At 41.8% G+C, this 21587-nt stretch overlaps 1 protein-coding gene across 5 annotated transcripts in view; it reads left to right on the top strand.

Moving 5' to 3' along the window:
- Positions 1–21587, top strand: part of ADAMTS12 (ADAM metallopeptidase with thrombospondin type 1 motif 12) — a 368456-nt gene that overhangs the window by 127639 nt on the left and 219230 nt on the right. For 3 of the 5 annotated variants that reach the window (NM_001324512.2, NM_030955.4, XM_017009905.2), the window contains exon 3: positions 12804–12948. In NM_001324512.2, the coding sequence (NP_001311441.1) occupies positions 12804–12948 (145 nt within the window). Of the gene's footprint in view, positions 1–12803; positions 13157–13739; positions 14016–21587 lie in introns of those variants that run through there. The other 2 variants (XM_017009906.1, NM_001324511.2) reach the window with 2 other exon arrangements.

Genomic DNA, 21587 nt, shown 5'->3' with positions numbered 1-21587 from the left:
GGATATATTATGTATAAAAGATATTAGACATATTCAGATATAGTTCCAGAAGGCAGAACTAAGATGATGAACAGAAATTATAAGGACTCAGATTTTTCATCATGCCATAAAGGGAAGAGATTTCTAATAATTAAAGTAGGTTAGCAATCATAGATGACTTGAGAAGTAGTCTCTCCTCGCTGGAAATGCATTTGTATGTGTAGACGAGCGTGTTTGAGGAGGCAGTTCCAGTATCAGCTGAAAACAGAGCCCTTGCAGAGTCTTACAGTGCTAGGATTATCTGGTTTTATAGAAGAAGCCACTATTGTTTCTTAATGAATGCTGTGTGTGGCACTACAGCCCTGTAGGTGCTTCCTCATGGTATTTCTTTTGTTCTTAACAGCTGTATCAAGTATGCATTCCCTGTTTCCCTATGAAAAGTCTGAGACTCAGCCATCAATCCATTTGACCAAGGTCACACAGAATCAGTGTAAGAACTGAGATCTACATTAACTGTAAAGCCCAAGCTCTCCATTCCATATCAGTAGTGTTGCATCTGGAACCAGAATTTAAAATAAATGAAATAGAGTGGCACAGAATGGAATATATCAGAATGCCTCCCACATAGGAAAAGGTGGAAGCATTGTTTCCTACAACATTTGTTTGCATGTGAACCGGTTGTGACATGAAATGTACTTTATACTGTGGGTCACGGCCAATGCCCTAATGTCATGGACCTTTGGCCTCCTGGACTTCCCTGAATGGGTCTACTTTGGTGATCCATTTCCATGACCACCCCCTAGGGTGTATTAGTTTCCTAGGGCTGCTTTCACAAATCACCACAAAGTGACATAAAACAACACACATTTATTCTCTTCCAATCCTGGGGGTCAGAAGTCAAAAATCAAATGTTGCCATGGCTACCTTCCTTTTGGAGAGTCCAGGGGAGAATCTGTTTTCTTGCCTTTTTCATTTTCTAGAGGTCACCTTGGCTCCTGGCTCCTTCATCACATCACTCCAGCCTCTTGCCCCTGTCACTTCATCTCCTACTTGTGCAGATCCTCTTGCCTTCCTCTTATAAGGGCCCTTCTGATTACATAGGTCAACTCTGATGGTGCAGGACAGTTTCCCCATCTCAAGATTTTTAATGTAATCACATCTGCAAACTCCCTTCTGCTAAGTAAAGTAAGATATTGGCAGGTTCCAGGGATTAGGACGTTGACAGCTTTGGGGGACTATATTCAGCCTACCACACCAGGCTTGCTTTACAAATTCTGAATGCTCAAACTTCAACAGTCCCCTTTCTGACCACCACTTCCTCTGCATTTGCCTTCTTTGTCATTTCCCTTGACTTGCTTTTCACAATATCAGCTAAGCCTTCAACCTGGCTGCATAAAAGATCAGCTCCTTCTCCCATTCCTCAGAGCAGTTTCCCAAATGCCCATCTACTTGCCTTAAGCAGATGATCTTACCTCCTACTTAAAGAGAAAAAGAGGTTCCTGGTGTGTATTGCTTCAGCTCCCGTCCTCTCTTTTCTCCCTGTGCTATCCTGGAAGGAGAACACAGCACTGCTAGTCACTCTGAAGTACCAGAGAACAATGAATAGTTTACTGAAGATGTCATAGGTAAAAATGGTAAAGTAGATTATGTTGTACATTTCCTATCATGCTCCAGGGAAGAATCCCCATTTTCTTCCTGCAAATCTTTCACTTTGGCCACCAGCTGCTGTATCTCCCTCCATGGATTTTTCCCTTCTGGCCTTGTCATCTCCAGGTCACCCCTTTCTCTGTACGTGGGTTATTTCCAGGCCTCCTAACTTTTTTCTTCTTTCTTTCTTTCCTTTATTTATTTATTTATTTTTTTTTGAGGTGGAGTCTCACTATGCTGCCCAGGCTGGAGTGCAGTAGCACGATCTCGGCTCACTGCAACCCCCGCCTCCCGGGTTCACACCATTCTCCTGCCTCAGCCTCCCGAGTAGCTGGGACTGCAGGCGCCCGCCACCACGCCCCGCTAACTTTTTGTATTTTTAGTAGAGACAGGGTTTCACCGTGTTAGCCAGGATGGTCTCGATCTCCTGACCTCGTGATCCACCCGCCTCGGCCTCCCAAAGTGCTGGGATTACATGCGTGAGCCACTGCGCCCAGCCTCTTTTATTTTTTTATTTTTATTATTTTTTTGAGACGGCATCTTTATCACTCTGTCACCCAGGCTGGAGTGCAGTGGCACGATCTTGGCTCACTGCAACCTCCATTTCCCAGGTTCAAGCGATTCTCCTGTCTCAGCCTCCTGAGTAGCTGGGACTACAGGCGCATGCCACGACACCTGACTAATGTTGTATTTTTAGTAGAAATGGGGTTTCACCATATTGGCCAGGCTGGTCTCAAACTCGTGACCTCAGGTGATCCACCCGCCTGTGCCTCCCAAAGTGCTGGGATTATAGGCGTGAGCCACCATGCCCGGCCCCCTTGTTTCTTAAACATGATTATTTCAGACTTTCTCAGCTCCTCTCCACCACCACTTTAATGTTGTCTTCAAGGATGTGAAAGCCTATTAGCCTAAGTAGGAAGATTTTTATTGCCCCCAGCCAAAAAATACTACAGTTACTCAGACCTATTCTCCTTATAGGGTAGTGGGGGATTACATATAACTAAAATGAATTTATTTTGCTATAATTATGACATTAGTCGGCCGTAGAAAATGGAGACAGCGGGTGTGGGTATATTCTGTAAAGAAAGACCCTGTAGGAAGGCAAATCTTTCTTTGTCTTTTTGTTTTAGAGACATGATGTAGATATAAATATTCATTAATGTCCTCATTTATGTCTCTAACATCTCACTCGACCTCCTCTTCATTTTGTTACCCTTTCTCTGCTGTGACTCTTGGTGAAATCAACACTACCAAATTCCTCCTGATTAGCCTATGTCCATCACTAAGCCATCAGAGATGGCATTCCCCTCTGCCACAAATCATTGTGAAACATCCCTGGAATGCTGTGTGTGAGGCCTTCACAGTAAGGAGGATGGTCACCGTGTGGCCACAGCAACAGCCTTGCCTGGCTGCCCCTCCTTCCAGGGTGGGAGCACTCCCTCATCAGGGATCCTTGCCTATCAGAGTGGGAGAAGAAGGCCCAGGGCCATGTTCTTCCCAGCCTCGGAAAGGCTTTATGTCCTTCCGGTGAAGGATGGTTTCTGGTTTGAAAATGGTGAGCTACTGGGATATGAAAAAGAAGTGCTGTATCAAGGCTAAATCCGCCATAATGGCTTTTTGCTTCCCACGGGGAAAGTGCTTTCACTACTGGAAACAGGTTCTCTCCCATTGTTCTCCCTAGTAACATGTTTCCTGGGCTCCCGATGTGCTAGCAATTTTTCCTCTTCCTTTTAGTCGGACATTTTATTTTTTGGTGAGACATGGCAAATGTGGGTTTATGGATTGCTGCTTAGAAGCGCATACGCACACACACACACACACACACACACACACACACACACACACAGAGCAAAGACAAAGAAATTATGAGAAGCAGAAAACTTTTCTGATAGAAGATTGTTGGGTGCAAGATAGGTAGTAAAAAATGACCAGAAAACTCTGGCATTCCTCTTTTTGCTCAGGGCTTCAAAGAGCCATATTTTCAGGTGGTGTCATTTATGGGGCTCCCACCCTTGTCCCTGAGAACAGTGTTAGAGAGAAGTTCTGATGAGCTTTTTAGATGCTACAGTGTCTCTTAGTTGATGCTCCTGGATTTCGTTGGTTTATCCAGAAATGCATGGTTTGAGATGTAATGAAAATTCCTTTCCTAGTTTTCTTCAGCATGTATGTCAGGCCAGCTTTTTCCTTTTCCTAATTTTCTTCAGCATATATGTCAGCCCAGCTTCTTTCAGAATGCCCATTTTCTTCTTGACATGAAATAATTTCACATTTATTTTACATTTCAAATGCAAAACATTTATTCAGCTAGAGTATCTGCCTACTGGAATGTTTTTCAAATCTTTTTTTTTTTTTGGCATCTTTTTATCGTCCTAGTCTGCCAAGCTATTACAGACATTGTGAACCTTGAATTCAGGGGAATAGTCTTTACAAACTGCAATCAACAATTGTCATAGTTAGAACTTCTTTTGATGATGAAGGTTAACTAAGTGTTAATTGGGGCCATTACTAGTACTTCTCTATATCCTTAATACTATGCCATTTGGGGGTTGGGGGTGGGAGGTGAAAACAATTAAGCACCACATGATGGAAGAATGCAGTGCTTTCCAAAGGGTGGTACATGGATTATCTATAACAGAAACCTCAGGATGCTTGCTACAGTGCAGATTCCCGGGTCTCACGCTAGATTTGCTGAATCTCTGCGCAGGGCTCCTGGGCATACGCATTTTTAACAAGCTCTCCATATGATTCTTTTGCACATTAAAATTGGAGAACCTCTGGACTAGTGGGTCACCTGACGCCTTATTCTCTTTGGTGGTTGCATTTTTTATTTCTAAAAATCCACTTTATTGGACTGAATGGCTGTCTATCAATGACTTACTCTTCCTTCTGTAGGAACAATAGTTTGTGAATCTGTGGGAGCAGCTCTTGGGAATTAAAACGAAATAAATGCACTCAGTTCCAAGTGCTATCAAGTGAGAAACAAAGATAATTAACTAAAAGGCAACTTTTCTAGTCTTATGTGAGGAGAGGGTTTTCTTCTAAAACCAAAAACTGAGTATTTCCAGAATAAACAACTATGTTAACCATACTTCAGGATAAGGAAATGACTGATTTAGTCACGGAAGAGTTGAGATGCTGTCCATCAACATGACATCCACAGAGACAGCAGATTGACTGAAGGTTGGCACTGTTTGGGGTCATTTTCATGAATTGCCTTATTTAGTTCTTGTCAGCAAAAACCATTTTGTCATGGTCATTTTACAGATGAGGAAACTAAGGCTCAGAGAAACAAAATTACTTGTGCAAAGCAAAAACTGCTTGTTAATGCTGGAATTGGGTGCTGAACTTAGCCTGTCTCTGAAGTCTGGCTTCTTTTACTAGAGAAAAACAGACTATGCTATAGAATGTGCTTCCAGCAGGAAATACAGGAGGCCAGGACCTGGCGTCTATGGTTGATTTAGAGACTTGGAAATGAAGTCTGTTGAAGGTTTCAGCTCTAATTCCTTTGAAGAAATCTCCGTTTGGGAGTTTGCTTGATTCTGCCCAAGAGATGCCCTAAGAACCAATTACTCAGGCCAAGAAGATGCCTGGGATGTGCTGGAGGCTTGATTAGAAGCCTCGGCCATGGCTTCCAGCTCTAAGACTCTATCAAAAAGGAAAAAAGAGAAATTGATTAATTCTGTCCCTGCTCAGATTTTTCTAGACTCAGTCACCACTGGTTCTACTTCGGTTAGTGGGGTATCATCTGATCTGTTTTGTGTTAACTAAGGGCAGGCCTCTCCCTAGAGAAGAATTTTCCTCCCCTCCCTGCTTGTTGGTGAGACACACAAACTTTGCAGTTGTGAGAAAGTTACTTCTGTGGCCATGAGGAGAGAGAGAGTTGGAACTGACATATATAGTGCCTTCTCCTTATCCCACCAGTATCTGAATCTGGGCTGTGAGTTGGGTATGTTGGAGTGTGTCCCACCTCCTGGCTGTATCACCTGAGTCTGACAAACCCCCATGACAACTACTAATGAGCAATTCCGTCTTGCTTCCTTCTCTCTACCCTTCTGCCATCAGATACTGCCTACCCCGTCCATTGGTTCACACCTTCCTCCTTCTGCTCAGAATTTTAGTGACACTGACATCTGGAAATTTTAGTTTTACTTTTGTGGGAGCCCTTTACCCCCTTGCGCGAATCCACATCCTCTCTCTCCAGCCCTCAGACAAGCCCACTGCTGTTGTTTTTCTGAGAACAACTTACTCCATTGCCTGCCTGCCATCAACTTCACTTCATACTTCTGCTGAAGGAGTCCTGCTTTTGTTCATTATGCCAAGAGGCTGAATGTCAGAGTGTGGCCCCTTCTTGCAGCCTAGCGATGGCTCAGGATCACTGCCACCCTGACATTCCTCCCATCTGTCTGGGTGGGCAGCACCTTTCTGCCTATTTGAGTTTCACCAGTATGACAGGGGGTAGCTTTTAAAAAATGCCTCTGTCCATTCCTACAGAAACCCTTAACTTGTGGCCCAGGCATCCCTTAGACTATCATAGCAGCTAATATCGTAGTAGCATATTAGCATAATAGCTAATAGCCCAATATGCTTATCGGGCACTTACTATGTATGGATACTCATCCTAGCACTTTACACTGACTCGTTTAATACACATGACATCCTTTAATGAGTTAATAAATTACTATCAGTATTCATATTTATCAGATGAGGAAACTGAGGCGTAGGCTTCAGTTACTTGCAGCAAAGAGATGAGTCAAGCAGATGGACTCTAGAGTAACTGCTTTTAAAGCACCACTTTATACTGTGTTTGCGGTAGACGATGCTATGATGAAATGAGCAACTGTGCATTTATTGAGCACCTACCATATGTCAAGACCTCTGCTAGACATTTTACGTATAGTGTCTCTGATAGTCATAACCCTGCAAGTTAAAACTGATTTTGCCCCATCTTACAGATGAGACAACTGGGGCTCAATGTGTTAAGCAATGGGACCAAGATCACACAGCTCATGCTGTTTCTATTCAACCATATCATACGTTTTTGATCCTATATTCTTTTAGAACCCATTTTGTCCATTTTCCAACAAAGGGATTATTTTTTCCCACCGCTTGGATTCTTGAGCTGCCAGCCAGTGGATGTGGTCTTGTGTATATTAGGGTTGTATTAGGCTCCTTCAAAAAGCATCTGAGAGGGATGAGGGACATGTAGGTTGATATTTCAGGGCTCTCAGGGTACAACTCCCTCTAGAAGTGGAACCCAGCTTCCAATTCTGCATGATCACAGCCCCCGTCCGTGGTTCCTGCTAGAACAAACATCTGTTCCCATTCCATTCTGTCCTCAGGACAGTGGCAGCTCCCTCACATAGCCCTTATCCTGTTACATTTATTCCCAATGATTCATTTTAATTTTGGTGAATGTTGCATTTTTTATATCCAGGTGTTTCTATTGATTCTCTGAAGCCTGTGTGCAGTGCACGGGTGTTCCCAATCTGGCTCCTGATGTATTTGCTTATGAAAACCAAACCATTATAGTGAAGTAGGTCACATTTTTGCAGTTCATTTGCTTTTAAGGCAAGTGCTTAAATTGGCCCTGATGACAGCTGTCATCACTATAGGTGAATATACTTATGATTATGAATCTCTCTCTTTCCTTACTTGGCCAATCTTTACAAATAAGCTGTCCAATATTGGAGCCACTAACTGCCAGTGGCTGCTTAAATTTAAGCTAATTAAATTTAAATAAAATTAAAAATTCAGCTTCTCTGTTGCATTGGCTATATCTCAAGTGCTCAACAGCTGCATGGGGTTAGTGGCTCCCAAATTGAACAGTGCAGATACAGAACGTCTTCATCACCACAGGAAGTTCTGTTGGACAGCACTGTTTTAGGGCAGAGGGACCAGCTCTGTTGTGTTGCTGTATCCCTGATACCTGCTTGGGTCATGGTAACTATCAGGCAGATACACCAATGTCTTCCTGGCTTCAGTCCATATTTCCTGAAACCACATGAGTTACTAGGGCTGCCCAGACTCATATGCAAAATCTTCATGAATTGATGACATCACTGGTCACTCTCTTCATTGGCTTCATGGAGGCCACTTAGGCATCACAGCAGAGGGTAGGGTGTGCTGGGTGAAATCTTCCCGGTGGTCCTACTCCCACCTCTCTTTATTCTGAGGCTTCTATAATCTCTTGACTTATACTTTCTGCTGACTTATTATTTTGGCTGTGTATTACATGAGAAAAAAACTGTCTCTTGCAAACCAGCAACAAGAAATAATAATTTGGAGAGCCTCTCATGGCTTTAAGACTGTGTCAAGTGTTCTGGAGTCTGTGGAAGTTCAATCTTGGCTTCGCCGCCTAAAAGCAGCCACTCTCAGTGGCCTCCGAAACACAGTGCTGGAATCCATAGCACCCATGGAAGTGCCGCTCCAGTGAGGGCTGTGTTCTGTGGGGAAGGGCTCTGTGACACAGGACTTCAGGTCTGGGCTCTAGGCCCAGTGCCACCAGAGGCCATGGGTTTGCCTCTTGAGTTGTGTGAACACTAAGTCCTTTTCAGCATAAAATTACCCTGGGCTTTGCTGTTCCCTTCCCTACTTGTTAATGAACATCAGCCTTGTCTTCATGGCTGGATTGCATATAAACCTTGAGGGCAGGGTCAGTACCTTTCTTAGCCCTCTCAGCACAGGGCTGACCCTATGATAGATATAGATTGATACTTTGTAAGAGGAATTTTTGGGGTGCTATTTTATCCTTTTTCCTGCCTATATGATGGGGAACAGGTGATGTCTTTTCCAGTGCTTCGTATACTATTGGGTACCTTGGGTACCTCTTTATCCTCAATTTTTTTTCTGTTCTTGATTTTGGAATGTGTTGTGTTGTCTTTGTCACTACAAGAATAAACAAATTCATCTGGTAACATCTGCGATTTTCAAATGAGTAAAAGGAATTTTCAAGGCAGGGTGATGGTTTCAGAAGCACAGTTCCATCACACAAGTCTGGGGTGCCTTCATGTGTCTTTTACACTATCATTGGCTCTTACCCTTCAGGCTTTACTTGTGGTACTCCAGAAGGCACAACAGCATGGGGTGGGTGACTCTTCAAGGTCTCTAGTCTCTGTGACTCTAGAACATTCTATTCACAAATTCCATATAAGATGCTGTCAGTTTCCCTCTAACCCCAGATCACTGTCACTAATTGAAGTAAAATATCACATACATCAAGATGACTAATATGTTGATGCAAGTTGAGGGGAGGGAGGAGAGATTACAGGCAACTCTTCTCACTCTGGGACTGTTCTGAAGAGTGCAACAATCCTTCCCCATCCTTCCTCATCAAAGAGCAGTGGAGGTCAAATACCAGCTGGCTCACACCAATGCATCTCAGCCTTTGGTCTTATCCCTACCATCTGGGCTTGCCATATTTCTCCTAAAGCAATATGAAGAGTCTGATTTAATAAGCCAGGGGAAATTCGCCCACTGTAACAAAATCTTTTTTATTGGTCAGCCCCTAACTCTTGAAATGAACTAGTAGCCTTTTTGTGTTTGTGCGTATATCAAATATTTTTTCCTCCAAAGAATTCAAAATAGGCTCAAAACTAACATTTCAGTGTTGGAAATCAGGATCATTGTTACCCTTGGGGGATGTTATTGATCTGGAGAGGGAACAGGGAGTCTCTCAGCTGCTGGTAATGTTCTATTTCTGCATCTAGGTGTTCTTTTTATAAAACATTTATGAGGATTTACAACTAGGATTTTGCACATCTCTCCATATGTTTATAATGCTTCAAAATAAAGTTTATTTAAAACAGTTTTTAGTAGACTTGGGAAGCATTCACAGATACTTATTTATTTATTTATTTATTTATTTTGAGATGGAGTTTTCTTCCCTCTTGTCTCCCAGGCTGGAGTGCAATGGCGCAATCTCGGCTCACTGCAACCTCCGCCTCCCAGGCTTAAGCAATTCTCCTGCCTCAGCCTCCCAAGTAGCTGGGATTACAGGCACGTGCCACCACACCTGGCTAATTTTTGTAGTTTTAGTGGAGACAGGGTTTCACCATGCTGTTTCACCATGTTGGCCAGGCTGGTCTCGAACTCCTGACCTTGAGTGATCCACCCACCTTGGCCTCCCAAAGAGCTGGGATTACAGGCATGAGCCACCGTGCCCAGCCAGATGTTTTTAACTTAGTTAAAACAAGTAGGTGAGTTTATTTCCAAAAGACAGTTAGCAGTATGCAGAGACTCCTGGATACTGGGTGGGAGAAGAGCAGATGGCACAGGAGGTGAAGGGGCATGTTTATCTTCGAGCTTTAGCCTAGGGCTCATCCTGCCCAGGTTCTTCTGAATGCCCAGTGCAAGTCCTCACTAAATTGGATACTTTTTCCTCAATTCCATTTCCATTCTCCTTTAAAGATGTAAGAGAAGTGGGCAGGTTGCAAAGGAGACCAGAATGGAAACTATTTTCTTTGGATAAGGTACAGACCTTGTAACAGAAGAAGGTGGTTCTCTTGGGCAATTTGCTTCAGGGAAAGTATGGGGCCAGCCCTTTCTTTGGAAAGCAAACCACGGGTGATTTTTTTCTAGCATGACCCTGGCTCCAGTTAGATGAGAAGAGATCAATAAACTGGGCCCACCTGGGTACTAGATGTACAAAGCCCTGTGTTTATATGTTGGGAGAGAGAAGAGGTGCAGAGCTCAGATGAGGAATTCCCCACCTCACTCTCCCTACAGCTGCTTCATCCCCTCTCCTACCTATTCCTTTCTCTGTGACAAACACACGAGATCCTGGGACCAGCAGCCTACTTGCATGTCAGCAGATCTCTGGCTTCTCCTCTAGTGGATGAGTCAGCAGCTCTCACAGGTTTCCAGGTAGCTTCTGAGAAATATTGAGGTTGAATAGGTGATTTTCCGCGTGCACCCTGGCAAGACCACTTTGTGGAGGAATGCAAATGGAGTAAGCCTTTAGGAAGATGCTGGTTTGGTTCTCAGGCTTTCTTATTCATGTTGCCCGTAAAATGGTTATTATGTCCTCAAGTGGAGCCCCATCTGTTTCTTCTGTGCCGCTTGGGTCCAAAATTTGAGGCTGAGGAAATATCAATAACTCCTTCATCTTGGTGGTGTCTTTTGTAGTTTTTCTCCTTCAAGGACATCAGTATTGGGCTGATAGCAGGTACACTAAGGGCCCCTAGGTCCAATCATCTTTGAGGACTCCTGGACTTCTGCTTTGTTTCCATAGAACAAATGAGCTTTCTGACAACAGGCTCACATTTTCCTCTTGTGCCTGGTCTCTGACTCAGAGGAGAAACGGAACCAAATCTCAGTACTGCACAGAGTCTGTTTCCCACTATTTTATGGCAGTTATTTGACAACTGTCTTTGGGCCTTGTCCGTTCTTCCTTCCTGTTCCAGAGATTGTCCTTAGAGACAGATACTGAAAAAAATGTCATGTTTTCTAAGCAATGTAAGCATAGAAGCAAATTATGTCAGATGTAACTGCTATTGGCGTTGGTAGTTAAAGTATTACCCCTCTGCATTTATAAAGCAGTTTGCATGGCACTTTTACAAGCTTCACCTCATTTGATTCCCCGAACAGCCCTATGAGGTAGTAGGCGTTGCCCCCTTTTACAGAAGAGGACTTTGTGCCTCAAAAAGTTTGCATGACCCATTGAAGGTCACACAGCTATTCTTATTACTCCCAGTAAAGTGCTCTATTTTTTCTATTGTGCTTATTATTAAAGACATTCTAAGGTCAGCAATCAAAATAGGAAGCTGATTGTGAGGTTTATGTTAAGATCTTGTTACATTACTGGCTACAGTGAAGCAAACATTTTGGAAAGACTCCCACGTCTAGAGCTGTCCAGTGGAGACCAGCATCCCCCTTTGTTGGAGCCCCTCTTGCCTCCTGACTGTGGGGGCTCCTCAGCTTGTCTTCAGACTCATCTGCAGAGCAGGGAGCCTTGAGTTACTGATGAATAGTGAAAGGACCTTGAACCTTGAAAGCCTTTTGCAGTTTCCCTAAGCCCCCCATGTTTCCAAGTTTAGTTTTGCAACCTTAACATTTACTGAACTGCTGTATTGACTCTGGAGACCCTATTACAATAAAATGACATAGAATCAGAGATCCAGAAAGAGCCTAATGGCAGGTGAGACTATGATCCAGGCCCTCTTCTAAGAGCTTTGCATACATTAACTCATTTACTCTTCATAGCAACCCTTGATTTATCCTATTTTTCAGCTGAGAAATTAAAAACTCAGCCAGTCACTTGCTCACTATTGCATGGAGGAGTTGTTTAATTTGAACCCAATTTAATTCCCGAGTCTGAGCTCCTGATCACTTTAATGTGATGCCCCAAGCAGTCTGTCTAGGTCAGGTCCTTTGTTTCATAGACTTAGCGTTGAGATCCTGAGAGTTAAACCCATCTTAGGAGATCATTGGCAAAGCAGTTTTCTAAGCACCTCAAATGGGCACTAAACATTTTCCTAAAAGGACAAGAGAGTTGTAGGTTATAGCACTTCTAGACCTGACCTCTAAAAGGAGTTACTCATTGGCCAGTGTTCTGTAGCATATCACTGATTTTCATATCTGTGAAATGAGAATATTCCCCTTTCCCTAGAAACTGACAGAGGGCTTTCTGCTGTAGGCCCCTGAAACTCAGTCTCAGATCAAGGACTTTGCATTACGTTTCTTTGTTTTCTTGAGTGAAGAGTGCCATTAAACACTTCCAGCCACACAGTTGTGTGAACATGTGGCTGGGCTACCCCCATGCAGGTAAATGTTCTAAAAGTTGTCAGTGGAGTGTGGGACATAGGTCCCAACTCCATAATAGAACAACTGGGAAGCACTGGGTCTTCATTTGGGATCCATAGATATCCAGCAATGGGTTTTAGAGGAATCTGTGAACCTAAAGAATTGTAGGCTACATTTCGGACACATGTGTATGTGTGCACTTTTTTCAATAAGGTCACAAATGGATCTGTGACTCCTAAATATTTAATAACGATGACTATAAAGATATTTCACTAAATTATTTGTATGTAACTCTTCTATGAGATCGAACAGCAGACTCTGAAAGCACTGGTCTTAGGAGTTTCAGAGATACTCATAAGCTATATAATTTTTCACTTTGTTTTTAGTAGGTATGTAGAATTGGTTAAAATAAACTTTCTTACTGAATGTATTTACAGACTGGATTTTTCCAACTACCACATGGAGACTTTTTCATTGAACCCGTGAAGAAGCATCCACTGGTTGAGGGAGGGTACCACCCGCACATCGTTTACAGGAGGCAGAAAGTTCCAGAAACCAAGGAGCCAACCTGTGGATTAAAGGGTATTGTGACTCACATGTCCTCCTGGGTTGAAGAATCTGTTTTGTTCTTTTGGTTGTTTTATTAAAACATGACCTATTCTTACTCAAGTCTCTTATCTCCTCTGTATTCTTTTTTTTTTAATATCTTCATGACATTCAAATCTCTTCTGTATTCTCTTGCCAGAAAGTGTACATTCTTTTTGCTTGTATAAACCCTTTCACTTGTCAATACTCGAGTCTCTGCATATTCTTAATGAGAAGGAAATAAAAGCATCTTTGCCACATTAATTGATGATGCTCATAAGACATTTACAATGAATTTTTTTTAAAAAACTCTTCTGAATAGTCTACAGGAAAATAATTAAAATAAAGACGTAATGATTTTCAGTATTAGCAGTGTTATAATACATTAGTATGGAATATTACCAGACAGCTCATCACATCTGCATATGGAAGGCAGATTTAAATGTTTGATGATGCCGATAATAATGTGTGAAGAAAAACTGAAAAAAATTATCAACACATTGTCAGATGATGAATTCAGTAAAGCCTCTTTTGGCTACACAGTGTTGTGTCTGCAGTTTGCTGAGCTGCGTTCCCTGCCCTTAAGCCCCAAGAATGATCTGAATTGGTCCTCTTGGCCTTGTCCCAAATAATTTCAGGTAGTTTTCAGAAGTAAACTGATCCAAGTCATTTCCTTGCAACTCCCACATTCTTCTTAGTGTGTAGGAGATAATAAGCTATGCATTAGTTTATCGGGATTGGGAATCGGGACAGTTTCTTAAATATTACATAATGTCTCCTTTCTTCAGAGAAAAAAACAATGCCAGAGGGGCTGTTAACAAAAGGAATCCCTAACATTATTTATGAGTCTTGAGGATTTGGAAACAATGGACCTCAAAGGGAAAACAGATGATGAGGCAGTGAGGGAAGGTGGATCCTGAAAATGGCAGGAGGGACTCAGAACTGGAGCTTTGCAAATAGAATGAAAGGACAAGAGGACAAGCAACTTCTCTACAGACTTCACCCAGTCCCTATGCCAGATAGCAACTTCCCTGGGAGTTTCGTCTATCATCTTAGCAGAGCATGTAAGCAACAAGAAACTTTTGAGTCTAAAATGTTTTCTGTACACAAAAACACACAACTGCTTTAAATTGTTGACTTCAGTAAGCTACTACAGCTTTATTCTAAATTAGATAACTTGCTGGCTAAATCCTCTAACAAGTACCAAGAAAAGGGATGAAATATATCATGTAGCTGATTTGAGTGATGAAGGTATCAGTATAGATAAGTTAGTCTTAATGTGAATATCTAGAGTTCTCTTGTTTGTCATTGATCCAGTCACCTGGATAATTGCCCAATTCCTATTACACTCTGGGTGATGGGGAACACTTTGTGATTTTATACCTTTTAAATCACTAGAACATCAATACGGTGGAGAAAGTTACTAGGACAGTGAGTGATCTTGACTGGACACTTACTCCTGTAGGCATCCTTGCTCTGTGAAATGAGTGAGACTATTCCTTATCTACCCACCTTGAACACCTCTCTCTCATAACTCCCCTATTGAGGCAGAGTTAATTACAAATGAATTGAGAATAGCAAATATTTAGTCATGAAAACAGAAGGGATGGATAAGAAAAGAGTGGGGTTTACAACTATCATGGCCCCCTATTAGGGCATATGCAACACCACAATTATGTTTGTCATCCCATTTAATGTTGTTCTTCTAGGCCGATCTCAAGACTTTCCACTTCTAAAGAACCTTCTCTGATTAATGCCATACAATCTTTGCCTTGTGAATTTCTCCACCAGATAGAATTTCCACCAGGTGGAATTTCTCCACCTTTGTACCTTGAGGTACTAAGCAAGTATGAGAGAGTATGTGGTAGAGAAATTCACAAAAAAGACACTCTCTTACACCTGCTTAGTACCCCAGAGTGTCAGAATTGAACAGCTCTACTAGAAGAACCTTTGAGGATGCCTTATGTAGCTTCCTTCCTTCTTTCACCAAAGAGATAGTTGTGTCTCAGAGAAGGGAAAGAATTGTCAAAAGCATCAAGATAATTGGTGTCAGAATATAGCCAAGCTCACAAGTCACGGTTCTATTCTACCTGAAGCTTTATACGGCCTCCGGTTTACTTTTTAAGTCTTCCTTGAATATACACCTTGTTTCATCAATAATTCTCACAAGCCCTATTAGAATAGGTATTCCCTCCCCAGTCAGTGTGTAACAGAGGGTTCAATGCAAAGTAGGAATTCAGTAAGTCATCAAAAAGGAACTGACAAAGAGTATTTCATAGCCAAGAAGATGAAACTAGAGTATATTAGTGTCTAATATATATGTCACTCATGGAAAGAAAAAAGAAACATGCCTTTTCCAAATATTGAAGTATCAACTGTGTGTGATCATCTCTCTTCCTCAGACAATATGTGTAATGCATAGTTACTGTTTAAACAGTAGCTAGAGATCCAAGAATTGCTAATGTGCTTGTGAATATTCTTAAACTACACATGACGTTTAAAATTTTTAAATCTTGGTGTAATGAAATGTTCTTGGCCTTGCTGAACCAGGTCATTGCAGTGTTCTTATACCATATTGCCCTGCAGAGAGAACAGAATTAACTGACAGTGGTGGTGTCATTAACCAACATTAAAGTACATTTCATGCTTAGGTCAGTTGATGTTGCCAGACTGAATTACTGTGATTATATGAAAAAAAGATCACCTTTACCATATATGGAGCATTTTGCTTTTGTAACGTTCAAAGAGGAACACTCTAGATATTGAAGAAAGATGTAATTTAAAAGTACCCTAGTGCTTCAAGAGAGAAAGGATATCAATTCATTTCTCCTAAAATCTGTCCTTTCACTCATTTTTATTTCCCACATAGAAAGGTGCCCAAATGTCACAATATGACTTAATTTCTGTTTTCCAGGCCTTTAATGTGATGCTATTTTGTTTTTGATTTTCTCAATTTTAACTATGTTTTCTTAAGTTGTTATGCTAGTTTTGTTTGCTTTTCTAAGCCTTATGTTTGCTAAGCCCTGCTGCAATTCTTGTTTCCTCTAAGATCGACTTTCTAGAATCTATGGTAAACAGTGGGAAAATAAAGCTTCCCTGAATTAAATCCAGGGGAAATTTCAAAACCTCATTTTATCAACGATGACAAGCTCCTTTCTCTAAGGCTTTTTGGTGAGAACATGATCACACTGGGATTTGAGTGGTGTTAGGTGGAAGTCTCTGTGGGAACTTTTGTTCCAGAAATCTGGGGAAGAAGAATTAACACTGGTCAGATCAATCAGATGAGAACAGATACTGGGTCATCTATGGCAGAAAAGGGTCCTGGCAGGTAAGGTCAGAGTCTGGGATTTCATGCATTAGAACTCTAGGCTAGAAAAACAGGGTCTGGCTCCTGGCATACATGCTTGTGTTCAAAATTTATTCATTCATTCAACAAATATCCATTAGGTATCTTCTTTGCGCCAGGTTTTTCCTAGGTTCTTTGGGTAGAATTGTAAATAGAATATACCTCTTTGTCTGAAGCACTGACAGCTTGGATATAGGACATGAGTAAGTAGAGATCTAGTCCTGGTTTTATCTTTATAATATATAGTAAGACTAACAAGAGATTTGGAATCTTAATGCATGTTTTATACCTTTTGCTACTCAATATTGGGTTGCTAGGACATGTAGCTATAATTCATTCATTTTCTCTTCTGTAGTTTTTCCATCTCATGAATCTTTCACACTCGATCCAATCTCCTTTGAGTAGATCTGAACTGCTTTCAGGCTTGGACTATTATACATTATGTTGAAAAGAACCTTCTTGTCCATATTTCCTAGTACACAGGTTCATAGATATTCCCAGTACTGGGTTCATTCCACCCAGTAGTGGAATGAAATTAGTAACCAATAAGATAAATACATCTATGACTTTAACAGATAATGCAAAATTGTTCAAGAACAGTGAATGAGAGTTCCCATTTTCCCATATTATATCTAGTACTTGGCATTCTCACTTTTACATGTAGTTAGTCTGGTGAATATGAAGTGGTATCTCATTATGTTTAATGTTAAAGTCACACATATCCTGTTGTGAATTAGGGCCCTAATCTATGGGCCCTAAATCTATGGCTTGTGGCTATAGATTCTCAATGAATAGTTGTCTCCCCTGGACCCAGAGTCAAGGCCCACTTTATTTGCTTACTTTACTTACTTTGTTTGCTTGTTTTCTGTTTTCCTTTTTCGCTTAGTCCCTAGACTGACTTTTAACCCTATGAGTCCTAATGTCTTTTTTCCCCGGAGCAAAAATAGGGAGCAGCACATATCCCAGATGAGCTACCAGTGCCATGTGCCAGTCAGGGGTTCAATCAGATAAGAACAACCAGTAGGAAATATATATTAAGAAATTCATTGCAAGAAATTGGCTCATGCAGTAGTGGGGGCTGGCTAGGCAAGTCCCAAATTCATGGGCAGGCCATCCAAAAGGGCAGGTTAGAACTCTTGGGCACAGGCTGAAACAGCTGTGCTCAAAAAAGACAACATTTCTTCTTCTGGAAAGCCTCAGCTCTGCTCTAGACCCAGTTCTGCTTTTCGACTGATTAAATCAGGCCTGCTACATTATGAAGAGTAATTTTCCTTACTAACAGCCAACTGATTATAGGCTTTAATCACATCTACAAAATGCCTTCCTAGCAACACCCAGATTAGTGTTTGATTGAATAACGGGGACTGCAGCCTAACCATGTTGACACATAAAGAACATCATCATGCTGCATCTTTTACTTTTCTCCCTGAATTGTTTTGCTTAATTTTTTTCTACTTTTGGCCTCTGAGGATTTCTTCTTTCTTTCATGTTTTACTATTGTTAGGGGCTTAATACTGGAGGATGTTTAAGAATATCTTGTCTATTGCACGAAATCAAAGCCTCAAGTAAACTTCTTATTTAAGACATTCGGAAATTGTGAGATGCTTTTTAAAAATTACATGCTCTAATATAAATAAATGTAAATGGTATAATACCATTAACACTAGCTCCTTGGAATTTATTAGCTTGTCAGATCACCAATCTGATAAATCAGAACAAAGTTATAAACTTGGGGGATATTTATAATTTTGTTCTGATTTCATGGAAATCCAGTGAGTTGAAGATTCTAAGTGACCACCATACTCCACATTGAGTTTAACATGTACTCAGTAGATGGTACTATTGGAATTGGCTAACACAAACACTTCTTGACACAACCTGCCTGAGTCTTGTCTTGAATTTCTTGATTACTTGATTGCCTTGTGAATAGAGGTGGCTTCACAGTAGTTTGTGCTTTGCTTTGCTATGAGATAGCGAACATTTTAATTATTGCTCTATATTTGTTTTTTATTTTTTCTTCTGTTTTTTGGAGGGGTGGCATGTGCATATATGTTATTATTATTATCTGCCGTAAGAACTGGTGGGAGGATTGATAAAGTGCTTCAAGATTTTACTAACGAGAGGGATGAAAAGACTGTTGGTGAAAATTTGGGGAAATGCTTAATGCATGAATGTATAGGGAGATAAAATAATAACCCTATTAGTTTTGTTTGCTTAATAAAATTCGAGACCAACACTTTAGGTACTCAGAGTGCCAGAGGCCTCAGCACAATTTCTCTGTAGCTCTGAGATACTCAGTTTTTTTTTAAAGCCTTTTTTCATTAACCAGCCTTCATGCAAATAATCTTCTTCTTTGCATTTCCTCAGCACTGGATAGTCTTTTGGTATGTTCCTTCATCACTTCAGGTGTCTGGGTTTCCATGCCCCAATAAGGAGACGGCTCTCCAGGAAACACAACATCTGCTTGTCTTATCTCCTCCAGGATGCTCTGTGCTGAGCCCATCCTGTCACAGTGGCAGAGGCTGCAGAACTGAACTAGAACAGCCAAGAGCACTGTGGGAGGCATTCTAAGGTGGGAGGGTGCCTTTGGAACAATATGAGCAAAGGATCAGTTTCACCTGATAGATGGTTCTTTTGTAGGACAGAAAGTCTTAATACTAAATAAATGTTACTTGATGTGTTCACTATCTAAGCTCTCTGGCATTTCCCACAACTCTGCAGGGCAATGAATAAGTAGCTTTGAGTTTTCCCTTCATCATTCCTGTGCTGCCATCTGCCTTGGGTGGAGGCAGGAGGAGGCTTGTTCTGTTCTGACCCACCTTCTGGCTTCATCCTGCAAAGGCCTGAGAGAGCCTCTGAGCTTTCCACCCCTCACCCATAGAGTCATCAGAAGTTCTGATGAGAAAGTGAGATTCACTCTAAAGAAAACCCCCAAAGATCTGGGTACAGCAGTTCATGCCTGCAATGCCAGTGCTATGGTAGGCCTATGTGGGAGGATCACCTGACCCCAGGAGTTCAAGACCAGCCTGGGCTACATAGCAAGACATCATCTTTACCAAAAAAATTTTTTTTAATTGGCCAGAAGTGGTGGTTCACACCTGTACTCCCAGCTACCCAGAAGGCTGAGGCAGAAGGATTGCTTGGGCTGGGAGATTGAGGCTGCAGTGAGCTATAATCATGCTGCTGCACTCCAGTCTGGGTGACAGTGAAACCCTGTCTTTCATTTTTAAAAAAATGAAAGAAAGAAAACCCAAAACAAATGACAACATTTCTAGCTTCAAAGCTCTATGTGGCAAGTAAACCCCTGGTGAGGGTGGCCTTCTTTAATCTGTGTCCTCAACCAACTCACATTATTACCAAGTCTTGTCATTTCTGCCTTCCCAAATAGCTTTCTACATTGTCTGCCTTTCCCCAGTATCATTACTGTGCCCCAGCATCTGTCGCCTCTCACTTGGATGATTGCAGCAGCCTTCTAACTAGTCTATCTGCCCTTGATGTCTTCCATTAGAAGTCAGAGAAATATTTCCAAAACACAAATCAAATCATATCTTTCCCATGACTAAAGCCTATCAGTGAACCCATTACCCTTAGGATAAAGACCCAGCTCTTTTAGTACCTTTTGGGAGCACATTCTCTTGTCACTCCAAATATAGCCTGGTGCCATCCTGACCTCATTTTTATTCATTAAAGAAGCTTTGCTTTTCATCACTGCTACCCTTTGCCCTTAGACTCCTTCTCCCTGAAACGTGTTCTCCCCAAATGCTTTTCTGAGTGACTTCTACTTATTCTGTGAGACCCATGCATGGCTTCCATTAGAACACTACCTACTTCATACCCTACCACAGGCTCTATCATATGATGAGTATCTGCCTATGTCTTTCCCTAGACAAGAAGCTCAGTTGGGACAGGAATCATGTCTGCTTATGCCCAGGGGTGTTCCCAAGATCTGTCAGAGTTCCTGGCCACGGCAGGAACTTAAATATGTTCAACTGAAGTATTGAACTTACTGTCTGTGATGCATTTTATAGCTTATTAGATACTTCTATTTTACCTATATGGAGCCAGTTTAACCCCTGAGGATAGCCACCCTTTCCTGGAGAAATTCAGTGTATGATCTGAATGGCCTGCAAACCAGCAGTAGTTGCAACTTACCTCACTCCTAAAGAGGAATGTGCACCAGAGACAAAGATGTGGCAAGGGTTGTGACTTGTGGCCTGAGGGTGTAGTTAAAAATGAAAGGACTACTTAAAATCTTTATTTTGGAGAAAAGCAGATCATGTATATATGTATGTATGGATAGAAGGAAAGAAGGGTGGGTGGATGGATGGATGGATGGTTGGATGGATGAATAGATGGATGGATGGATAGACGCAGATAGAAAAAGAAAGCAAGTGATTTCATTTACTCAGCGAGCTCCCACACTCACACTGTGCCAGACACCGGGTAATTAGGATACAAGGGTGAACAAAATATTGAAGCAGGCAGAAATGTAGAGATGGAGGCCTGAGAGAGCTCTTGGGTAGAGAGGAGCAGGTGTGTTTTCTGGCAGATACAAAAGAGGCAGGGGCCTTGGAGGATGATATGGAAGATGAGGCCCTGAGGCCCAGCCAATTGGCCACAGCAATCCTAGCAAACTGGGTGCTTGTCTCTGAGCCTAGAGCATACATAGTTTTTAGTTTCCTGTGGGCAGGGGGAGGACAAATTCTCATCCAGTCCACTAAGTAGATTTCTGGCATTCTTCCAGTCTCATTTCGAATAGTGCTGCCTTCCCCCACCCTGGACTGCCTCCGAGGCCTGCTGGCCCCCACCGTTTCTTGAGCTCAATCTGCATTCTGATGTGACCCCTTGTTATCATCCACCTCATCTCCCACCACTCTCCCCTTCCTTTTCTGCCTCTCCAGTGTTCCTTGAAGTGGGCTCACTGCAGGGCCTTTGCCCTGGCTGTTCTCTCTGCCTGGAACACTCCTCTCCCAAATTTCTTTATGGCTCACCCTTTCATGCTAATGAACTCAAAATACCCAGAGAAGCCTTCCCTGACCACTGTTTAAGATAGCTTTTCCTCCGTCACTTTGTAAGCCCTTTATCCTACTTTATTTTTTCACAGCACTTGTCATCACCCGATGTTATTTTAGCTGCTTATTTGTGTATTGGTTTATTGTCTGTCTTCCATGAACCAGAAATATGCTCAATCCAGGCAAATACTTTCTCGCTTTTGTTCTCTGCAGTATCCTTCAGTTGCCTAAGACAGAGCTGGCCATAGTCATGAGCATCTGGTAAATGTTGAATGAAT

Source organism: Homo sapiens, chromosome 5, assembly GCF_000001405.40.
Source record: "Homo sapiens chromosome 5, GRCh38.p14 Primary Assembly".
In the NCBI taxonomy this organism is placed as follows: Eukaryota; Metazoa; Chordata; class Mammalia; order Primates; family Hominidae; genus Homo; species Homo sapiens.
Note: the sequence above shows the minus strand (reverse complement) of the source record. Positions and strands in the feature narration are given on the sequence as shown.